This window comes from Homo sapiens, chromosome 2 (genome assembly GCF_000001405.40).
Source record: "Homo sapiens chromosome 2, GRCh38.p14 Primary Assembly".
NCBI classification, from domain to species: Eukaryota; Metazoa; Chordata; class Mammalia; order Primates; family Hominidae; genus Homo; species Homo sapiens.
Genome location: NC_000002.12, coordinates 176,232,385 through 176,243,534, shown reverse-complemented (window position 1 = coordinate 176,243,534; position 11,150 = coordinate 176,232,385). Strand labels below are relative to the sequence as shown.

At 38.6% G+C, this 11,150-nt stretch overlaps 1 pseudogene; it reads right to left on the bottom strand.

Annotated features, from left to right (window-relative positions):
* On the bottom strand, positions 465–1,500 carry RPSAP25 (ribosomal protein SA pseudogene 25; annotated as a pseudogene).

The window sequence follows — 11,150 nt, the reverse complement described above, 5'->3', positions numbered from 1 at the left end:
GGGGGAAGGGAAGTAGGGAGGATGGGCGTGGTGGTTTCGGGATGAAGCTGTTCCACCTCAGATCATCAGGCATTAGTTAGATTCTCAGAAGGAGCACCATAACCTAGATTCCTTGCACATGCAGTTCACAATAGGGTTCCAGCTCCTATGAGAATCTAACGCTGCTGCAGATTTGACAGGAGGCAGAGCTCAGGCAGCAGTGCTGGCTCACCTCCTGCTGTGTGGCCCAGTACCAGTCTGAGGCCCAAGGGCTGGGGACCCCTGAGTTATAAAGAACGATATTATTTGCCAAAACTCAACAAATGTAAACTTAAGATTTGTGCATTCCTTCATAAGTACATTTTACATCAAAAGAAGAAAACTATAAACAAATATTGAACTTGATATGCATGCTGAAATATTTAGGGCGAATATACGGAATCTGTGATTTACTTTGAAATATATTTATTTATTTTTCTCTTTTATTTAGAAACTGATGTTTATTTTCCATCAGCATTATTTCCATGTTGCTTAAGTGCCTATGCAAGAACAGCTTAAGAGTTTAAGACCATTCAGTGGTTGCTTCTACCCATTCAGTGGCCGGAGCAGTGGGAGCTGCACACCAGCCTCCCGTGGCAGGCTAAGCACTCCAGGCTTCAGTAGGGAACTGCTGAATAAGCACAGAGGGCACCTGCATGTGCCCTCAGACCAGTCTGCACCCTCAGACTGAGTAGCGGAGAGCTCAGGAGCTGGCATAGTCCGTTCATCCTGAAATTCCTCGTTGGTCACAGCCTTTTCAGCAGCAGCCTGGTCTTTTTCCATCTCTTCAGGATCTCTGCAGATGTAGAAATCAGGCATGACATCCCACGGATGTTTGTGGGAAATGGTGCCAGGCATGTGCAGGACTTTCTGGGCCAGCATCCACCATGTCAAACCCCCTGAGTGAGCTCCCTTGTTGTTGCATGGGATGACAACTTCCACATAGCACAGAGGAGAATCTGTGTGACACAAAGCAATGGTAGGTAGGTTAACATAAGATGCCTCTGTGAGGGGCTGGTGGTCAGCCTGGGATTAGTAACCACCAGAAGCCATGGCTCCTGGAAGGCTGCCTGGATCTGGTTAGTGAATATTCTAGGAGTGAAGCAGCCAGTAACAAGAGTGGCTCCAGTGACAGCAGCCAATATCGGCGTGCCTTTCTGGCCAGTTTTCCTGGAGGATATGACACTGACATCAGCAGGGATTTCAATGACAACAATGGCATGAGCTGCCAGCAGAAACTTCTCCCAGGTCTTCTTCTGATTTAGGATGTAGATGCCATCACTTTTCATATAGATGTACTGTTCCATTTGGAAGTCAAGGTTGGTGCCACCTAAGTGGGTTCCTGCTGAAAGGAACTTGAGGACGTCCTCCTCCTTCATTGGCAGGACATCAAGGGCTCTGGACATTGTGAACGTTTTCCTTTAAGTTATGAAGGGAATCCAGAACAACACAGTATGGATCCCTCTGTGGGTAGCGCGGAAAGGCAAAATATATTTATAAAATGATGAATTGCATCAGGTGCAGTGGCTCACACCTGTAATCCCAGCACTTCCGGAGACCTAGGCAGGCAGACTGCTTGAGCTCAGGAGTTTGAGACCAACCTGGGCAACCTGGTGAAACCCTGTCTCTACAAAAAAAAATAATTAGCTTGGTGTGGTGGTGTGCACCTGTAGTCCCAGCTATTCGGGAGGCTGAGGTGAGAGGATTGCTTGAGCCTGAGAGGCGGAGGTTGCAGGGAGCTGAGATCGCACCCAGAACTTTACTCCAGCCTGGGTAACAGAGTTAAATGAGTCCATCTCAAAAAAAAAAAAAAATTGATGGATGGATAGAGAAATGGCTACATGAATAAATATATAATAAAGCTTAATGGCTGAATTTAAGTGATGGATATATGGGTAGTCACTATAAAATCTTTCCATTTTGCTGTTTGAAAATTTTTATAACAAATATCAGGGGAAAAAAATGTCTTGAATTTTTTTGTGACCATTTTATCTTCTCAGCCAGACTATTAGCTCCAAAGAGCAAAGGCAGTTACATCTGGAAGGTTATCTAGTTATATTTCTTATTTCACAGATGAGGAAACTAAGTCCTGAAGATACTAAATGACTTTATCAAGATCAGGTGGCAACCGGGTGCGGTGGCTCACGCCTGTAATCCTAGCACTTTGGGAGGCCAAGACAGGTGGATCGTTTGAGTCCAGGAGTTCGAGACCAGCCTGGACAACAAGGCAAAACCCCGTCTGTACAAAAAATACAAAAATTAGCCAGGCATGATGGCACTCGCCTGTAGTCCCAGCTACTTGGGAGGCTGAAGTGGGAAGATCACTTGACCTAGAGGGAGCAGAGGTTGTAGTGAGCAAGATCATGCCATTGCACTCCAGCCTGGGCAACAGTGCAAGACCCTATCTCAAACAAACAAACGAACAACAGCAGATGGCAAGTTAGGGACATACTTGATTCCATACTTAGTTTCTTCTCATTACACTAGGGACAACTGAAGCCCATAACTCAGGCCTAGAGGATCCATGGAAGGGCTCCTGGAATGCCCATAAAACCCCAAATTCTGAATGTAAAATTTAAGTATATGTTCAAAGATACATTTTCTTTTCTTTTCTTTTCTTTTTAAGGCAGTACTTTTATTTTTTCTTACACAATGATGTGTTGCTGGAGCCTAAAGATGCATTTTCTAAGGAGAAAAGTCATAGCTTTCAAAAGATCCTTAAGTGGTCTATGACTCAAAAGGAGTTCCTGTCTCTAAAAAGTTACTAGGATTAACTTTATTTCCATCAAATTCCTCCTTGAAAATAGCGAGCACAGTGTTAAGACATTCAAGAAATATCTTTAAACTGATAATATTTTACTGATAATCCATGTTAAGCTAATATTTTTAACTGATTAGTGATAATGGTATTCAAAAAAGCTTTTTGGAGTTCCAAGACAGATTGTAAGAACGTGTAATGTGAGCCACTCAAGCCCTTTAGAGTTTTTAACTATTTTTTATCTTGTCTCACACAAGGCTGTGGTGACCCACATGAAGTTGGCTAAGTTCTGAAAACATATTTATCTTTGTATTTTTTACTTCCTTGACCTTTGGAGATCACTGTGTTGCTCAGCAAAATCCATCCAGAGCTTTCCCTTCTTAATTTCCAAGCAAAATAGTTTATTGTAACATCCTTCAGGTTCAGGCTATAAGTTATTCTGCCTTGAGTATGCACTTAGCAAGGGGTTGCCTCCAAGTGTAGAGTTAGGCCTGTGAGCTCTAACCTCGTCCTCTGCTCTACCATTAGTTAGAGGAAAGCCGACTTCCTGAGCATTAGCTTTTTTTAACCTATAGACTAAATTTAACATCTCCTAAGGTATCCCACAAGGTTTTGTTAGCATGAGTAAATTGATATTTTTAAAATAGCTTGTAGAATATGATACAGAACTTAAAAATATGGTGTTACTTTTGGTCAAGGAAAAATGTATATGTCTTATTTGTATACTTTAAGAAACCAAACACTAAATTATGGAAGAAATAAATAATTTGGCAGAATTTCTTCCAACATTCAGGGAAAATATTCCATATCTCGTAGAAGGGTCACTTTCCCGAGTGACCCTTCCATCTACATGTGCCTGAGTTTGCCATCCCTCTATTTTTATTTCTCAACTCAGTCAATGCCTAACATTTGTTATATCACAAAAGCATATAAACATGAATTTTCAGGTTTCTTCTGAATCTCCCAGAGATAAACTGAATAGATACATCAGCACAGCTAAAACAAGACTGTCTGTAAATCTGCTTGGGCTGTCAAAAGAAGAAGAGAAGAAGAATTGTGCAGGAAGTAAAAGAGTCAATGAGACAAATTAAAGGAAATAAAGAATTCTGGTGTGGATTGAACTGACAAGCTCAAGAACAAAATGATAAAGACCTTTAATCACGTCAGAAAGTCTATAAAGCTATGTAAGTACAAGAACTAGCAAATGTTAATAATAAACCTTATCCTATTACATAAGAGACAAAATGAACTGCCAAAACTCCAGAAAGGTCAGATCTATCATATATTGTATCTGTATTGAATGCTCGTATTGAAAATTAATTGGAAGTCTAATGAATAACTTGCTTTGCTAAGAAAGAATGATCTGTTAATGCATCGGATGATTTAAAATTTAGAAGACTCCTGGAACCCTATGATTGCCACAAGATCATGCCTGAATTAGCCTGCTGTGGGATGACATACAAGGAACAAATGAGCTGTCCCAGTGGAGGCCACGCTAGATTAGGCAAACAGCTGGTCAACTGTGAGAGAGCCCTAGCTGAGATCAGAAAAGCCATACAGTCAAGCCCCGCCAAAATCAGCAAAACTGCCCAGCCAACACAGAGTTCAGTCCCTCCATAAAGAATATCCTTGATGAGGTGGGATGAGGTGGGAGCAAAGGGAAAATGGGAAGACCAGTGAAGAGGCTACTACAATATGCTATGCTAATAGCTCCCAAACTACGGGATCAATGTTAACATCACTAAAAGAGAGATAACAGGCCAGGAGCAGTGGCTCACGCCTGTAATCCTAGCACTTTGGAAAGCTGAGGCAAGTGGATCACTTTAGGTCAGGAGTTCAAAACCAGTCTGGCCAACATGGTGAAACCCCGTCTCTACTGAAAATACAAAAAAATTAGCCGGGCATGGTGGGAGGCACCTGTATTCCCAGCTACTTGGGAGGCTGAGACAAAAGAATTGCCTGAAACCAGGAGGTGGAGGTTGCAGTGAGCTGAGATCACCCTACTGCACTCCAGCCTGGGCAACAGAGTGAGACTCCATCTCAAAAAAAAAAAAAAAAAGAGAGAGAGAGAGAGAAAACAGGCATTATTTGCCTCCTGATGTGATGCATAGGGAATACACAATACCACTTAGGGAGTAGTCTTCCCTCAAATAGAACCTGCTCTGATTAAGTATCCATATCTAACTACAAATTTGCAAGAAATATAGGGGACAGAAAACATATTAAACAATGACGGGGGTTGCAATCGCATAATCTGGAATATGGAAAACCCTACAGGACAAATTAGCTGGTTTCTTCAACAAATAAAGGGTAAATATAAGGAGGGGGGAATCTAGACTAAAAAATATTCTATAGACAAATTGGCTTTAAAATACATATTTATGAAGGAATCGGGAATTTGGACAATGACTGGATATTTAACAATATCAGGGAATTATTAGGTTTTTTATAAAAGATGTGATAATGGTATTGTGGTTGCTTTTTTTGAGTCCTTATAGAAATACATACTGAAATACTTATGAATGAAAAGATATATTTGGATTTTCTCCTAAATAATGCACCTGGGAGTGGGGAAGTGAGTGGGGTACAGTATGAACAAAATAAGATTAGACGTGAATTGGTAATTAATGAAGCTGGTTGATGGGTACGTGGGGGTTCATTATATTTTTCTCTCTACTTTTGTGTATCTTTGAATTTTTCCATCAAAAATGTTTTAAAATTTTGGAAGAATATCATTTATATACAACATATGACAGGAAAAGGTTCATGGATACCGCTCTTCCTCATCATTGACAATTAAGCTCTGCTATTGCAAAAAGCCTTTCTCCCTTTGCAGACATGTCCTCTGGAGACTCTCCAGTGATATTATTAGTGCAATGATCCCCCTGGGCTAGAAAGTGGCTCAAACCAATATAAGAATGAAATTCGATTCAGCAATCCTACTTGTGGGAATTTACCCAAGAGATTCAAAATCAGTGTGTCCAAGAGATGTCTGCACTCCCATGTTCACAGCAGCACTATTGATGTAGCCAAGTTATAAAACCAACCTCATCAACAGATGAATAGATAAAGAACACGTGGTACATATACATAATGGAGTACTATTCAGACTTAGAAAGAATTTCTGTCGTGTGCAACAACACAGATGAAATTGGAAGACATGCTAAGTGAAATAAGCCAGACACAGTAAGACAAATACCGCATGTTCTCACTTATATGTGGAATTTAAAACATTCAAACTTATAGAAGCAGAGAGTAGAATGGTGGTTGCCAGAGGCTGGGGTGTGGAAGAAATGGGGAGATAATGGTCAATGAGTACAAATCCTCAATTAGGAGGATTAAGGGGTTTTTTTTAGCTCTATGGGTACAGCATGGTGAATATAGTTAATAATAATGTATTGTACATTCCAAAATCACTAGGAGTGCATTTCAAGTGTTCTCGCCACATAAAATGATAGGTATTTGAGGTGATAAATATGTTAATTAGCTTGATTTAATTATTCTACATTATATTCATTAATCATGAAATCATTTTGTACCCCCAAAAAATATATACAATTATAACTTAGCAATTTGCAATAAAAATTTTTTAATTAAAAAAAATTTTTAAAGATTGAAATGAAAGCATTGTAGCAACACATATGTATAATGTGTGCTATCCACTACAGTATTTATTTTAATGTACAAATACATACTATGTATTTTATACATAGTCACTGGATTACTTTATTATCCTTCTAAAATTAGACTTATAAAATTATCCAGATTTTTTATTATTAAAATAAAATGCTCATGACCAAAAAACCTAAACAGTACAGAAGATGAGGAAAAGGCAAAAAGTAAAAGTTCTTCCTCTGAACACCCAGTCAGTCTCACTCTCAGTGGTGTGGAATCACTTAATTAACACATTCTTGAGTATCCTTTCAGAAATGTTCAATGCATAATTGTGTGTGTGCTGGAAAAAGTTGTTTTTAAGGAATATTGATTAAGTACAAGGGTGACCTGGCTTTTGGTTAATTTTATTGTAAATAATTATTAGTTAATATATAATACATCTTTGTTTTGCAGAAATACTTTTATATTCACAAAGAAGGCATACAGCTTAATCACAGCCCTTTTGTCATATGATTATCCATATCATTATAACATAGTTATTTATGTTTGTATTGATCATTTGAAAATATAACTGAATTTTTCACCCTAATATAAAAAAGATACATTAAAATGAAAACACATTAATGACTTACCATTGTTTCTTTCTTTAAACCCTTCAAATTGAAATTGTTTAATAGATTTTCCTTTGGGGCTATTATGTTGCTGTCTTACATCAACAAAGTAATACAAAATTTTAGGGTATGAAAAGAAAACAAGATTGGTATCTTGCTTATTCTTATATTATCAGCCTGAATTAAAAATTAAAATAAAAATGGTAGATATATGCAATAAATTTTCAAAATATATTAAAATTATGAGGGTATTTCTTTTATATTACCTTTCTGTATGTTTTAACGTTCATATTTAAAAAGTTGTAAGATTTGCAGCAGTAAAACAGAAACGATTCATTCTTTAAAAAATTTAACCACTAATTTTCCACAGAACTACATGATTAAAGATGGCTTTCAAATGAACATTGACTACAAGTGTTTTTTTTTTCTATTAATTTTTTTTTTTTTTACCACATTTCAAGATTCATCTGAGGCTTGAGTTATCCATTACCAAGTTGTTTTTTAATGCTTCCCCATTGGCATGTGCTTATTTTGTTTGTGTTCTTCCAGTGATTACTGATTCTTCAAATTACTGAAAAAGAGAAGAAGAAGAAAGGCAACTCTTACCTTGGTGACATGCAGAGCTGGTTTCAAGGGTGCATGATGTGCACAGTCACAGAGTCCCACGGTCAGAAGTGTCTCATGGTTGGTTTAATGCTCTGCGGTCACCATCTTGAAATTCATAATAATGTTATCTTAAACTTGTTTTGTAAGTGAAGCCCAAAGAAACATTTTGTGCACGAACAATATGCACAATATGTTTGTATGGTGTTCCTTGCCACCTCATTTGCATACAGCCTTCTGATGTTCCATGAGCAGAGAATTCCAGTGGACCCAGCATGGGAGATCAGCAAGACGGAAGCAAATAGATAAACATTTTATGGGAGCCACTGGCTTCCACAGAGTGTTGGTAGAACAGGCATGTATCAAAAAGTGGAATAAAAAACAGTTGTTAGGTTTTTTGCATCATTTCCAGTGTTCTGGTAAGAACAAAATACATATGCATGCACAAGCTACAAAATACAAATTATATTATATCAGTGGTTCTAAATACAGTTTTGCATTTAAAACTGGCATTCCATAATATAAAGATGAATGGTTTTTAAAAATTATGCCAATAATTTAAATTTTTAATTTTTCTTCACTTAGACCAGCATTAAATAACAAACAACACCATGACAAGTCAAGAGAAAGACTGTGGAAGCAAGAAAAAAGCTTTACCTTTAAGTATCTTTAATGGCACTTTTCCCCAGATTTCAAAACAAGGGCCCTGTGTTTTCATTTTGCACGGGGCCTCACAAATACTGTAACCAGTACTGGTTACACATTCTTTGTCTTCCCCCAGAATCCTCCTGCAGGAAGCATCTGTCTTCTATTCTAAAGTCATTAGTTCACCTTTGCAGCTGAGTTTGGGCTGGAGAAGGGACATCTTTATTTTGGCAAATGGCAGAAGAACTGGCAAACAGAAATAGCAAAAGGAATAGACATGTTTCCTGAACTCTAGTATGGTAAAATGCTTAAGCTCTTACAGATTAGGTTTTCTTTGCTTCATTGTGGTTTACAGCTATGGATTTTTCACACTGAAGGGCAGTTGTCAAATAAATATTTTTCCTTCATCACTTCTTTACACTCAAGACTTCTCAGTATCAGTACCATCTTATTATGAATTCATTTTATCTTAGAGCTACTAGAAATGATTTAAGACCAACAAAAAGCTGTGTTATTAATTTTTATTTTGTGCTTTTTGTCATTGTCTCTATGAACCATTTTCAGATTGTTTCAACAAATATTTTTGGAGAGCCAGCTTTATGAGGACCACTGTGCTAGACACTGAGGACACCCAGTGAAAAAGAGTCCCCACCTGCCAGGGGTTTAGGTCTAATCATCCTCCAGAGGGAATAAATGGGCCAAAATATGATGGTGAGGGCTGGTTTATGTGGAAAGTTCTTTGGGTTTTGTTTTTTTTCTTCACACAAAGTGAACTCTATTCTTTGCGGTACATAAATCACTCCCTAATAGTGAGGTAAGTCCATTAAGTTAACTTAGAGCACCACTGGTTATATTATTGCTGCAGGAAATGGCAAGTCAGGATTGCAACTGACTCATTTTAGAGGAAGAAATGCCCCTTTGAAAAAAACTATTGTCCTTTGGAGCTGAAATTTCTTTCTCTGATTTTTAAAGCCAAGTACAGAAAGGCTGTTTAGGAGAATGAGACTAAAATAAAACTCCCTAAGTCCCAAATCTGTGATTCAGAGTAACTCCACTGACAATGATCAAAATCATTCCTCAAGTCGTGGCAGGCTGCTGTTATCCTTCCAGAGTCCATTTATCCATAAGTCTCTGAGGCCCTTTGTTTTCAACATTCACTCGCTCTTCTTCATTCCTAACACCTACATTAAGAGTGATCAATTGTGATGTGCTTCTGACACCAGGTTCTTGAGAGTGGTGCTTTTAGCTTTATTAGAAAACTCTTCCTGAAAATGGTTTAATGTATATCTTAAATTATGTATTTAACGTGGAAAGACAAACTTTTTGAGACTTGATTTCATTAAATTCTCATGGATACTTTATTCCCAATAGTTCCCAGTTACATCATATTTATCTATTCCCCAACATTTATTCTTTCCTTCTTCCTTGCAATAATACTGATTTTTAGCTGAGCAACCTGGAATAAACCCCACCAGAACAAATTTAGTCACCTGGAATAAAGACATTTCCCAGCTAGGTATCACCACATGACTAAGCTTTATATAATATCCCTTCCTGTTAGCTGCAATGCACATGTAATCGCTGGAACTTTAGCAGCCACTTTGGACTATGAGATGGAACATCAAAGACAGGAAAACAAAAAGACAGAAGTTTGAATCCCTGATGATTTCAAAGACTGCCTACTTCTAGACTTTTTTTTTTTTTTTTTGAGGCAGTCTTGCTCTGTCACCCAAACTGGAGTGCAGTGGCACGATCTCAGCTTACTGCAACCTCTGTCTCCAGGGTTCAAGCAATTCTCCTGCCTCAGCCTCTTGAGTAGCTGGGACTACAAGCATGCGCCACCACACTTGGCTAATTTTGTATTTTTAGTAGAGACAACATGGGGTTTCACCATGTTGGCCAGGCTGGTCTCGAACTCCTGACCTCAGGTGATCTGACCACATGGGCCTCCCAAAGTGCTGGGATTATAGGCTTAGTCACGGCGCCCGGCTGACTTATAGACTTTTAGATGAAAGAAAAGTGCAACTCCATCTTGTTAAAGTCACTATATTACTTTTTGTGTCTCTGTTACTTGCAGCTAAACCTAATTCTAACTGATAATTTATTATAGATTCCTGGTTCATTCTGCCTAGATGAATGCAGTCTTTTTTTTTTTTTCTTTGAGACGGAGTCTTGCTCTGTCGCCCAGGCTGGAGTGCAGTGGGGCGATCTTGGCTCACTGCAAGCTCTGCCTCCCGAGTTCGCGCCATTCTCCTGCCTCAGCCTCCTGAGTAGCTGGGACTACAGGCGCCCGCCACCACGCCCGGCTAATTTTTTGTATTTTTAGTAGAGACGGAGTTTCACCATGTTAGCCAGGATGGTCTCGATCTCCTGACCTCGTGATCCGCCCATCTTGGCCTCCCAAAGAGCTGGGATTACAGGCGTGAGCCACTGCGCCCTGCTGGTGAATGCAGTCTTAATACTTATTCTTTTTTCTCTACCTTGAAATTTATTGCTCCTTTGGCTAGAGAATCCTTAAGGAATATTATGTTTTTCACAGTTCAGTTAATTCATCTTTGTTATAAAAATGACTTAAACAATATAAGAGCAACAAATATTAAAGTAATAGCTGTAAATAGCAGTTATTGGTTTTCTGTCAATGCATATTCTAATTCTGCTAAGACTTTGAGTTTGGCTTATCTAGAGCACTCAGCACTGAGCCCACCTCTGGATTGGTTTCTGGTCCTACCCATTTCACCAGCTTCCACAAATCAATGTTTAATTAGCAAAATAAATAAATTAATTAAATTGAATTAAGGAACAGAGCATCTGAGTACCACCTCAAACCTGTATCAAGTCTGATGGGAGGGAGCATCATGTCTCCTTCTAAGTGGAACATGGGAGAGCATGTCCTGAGATGA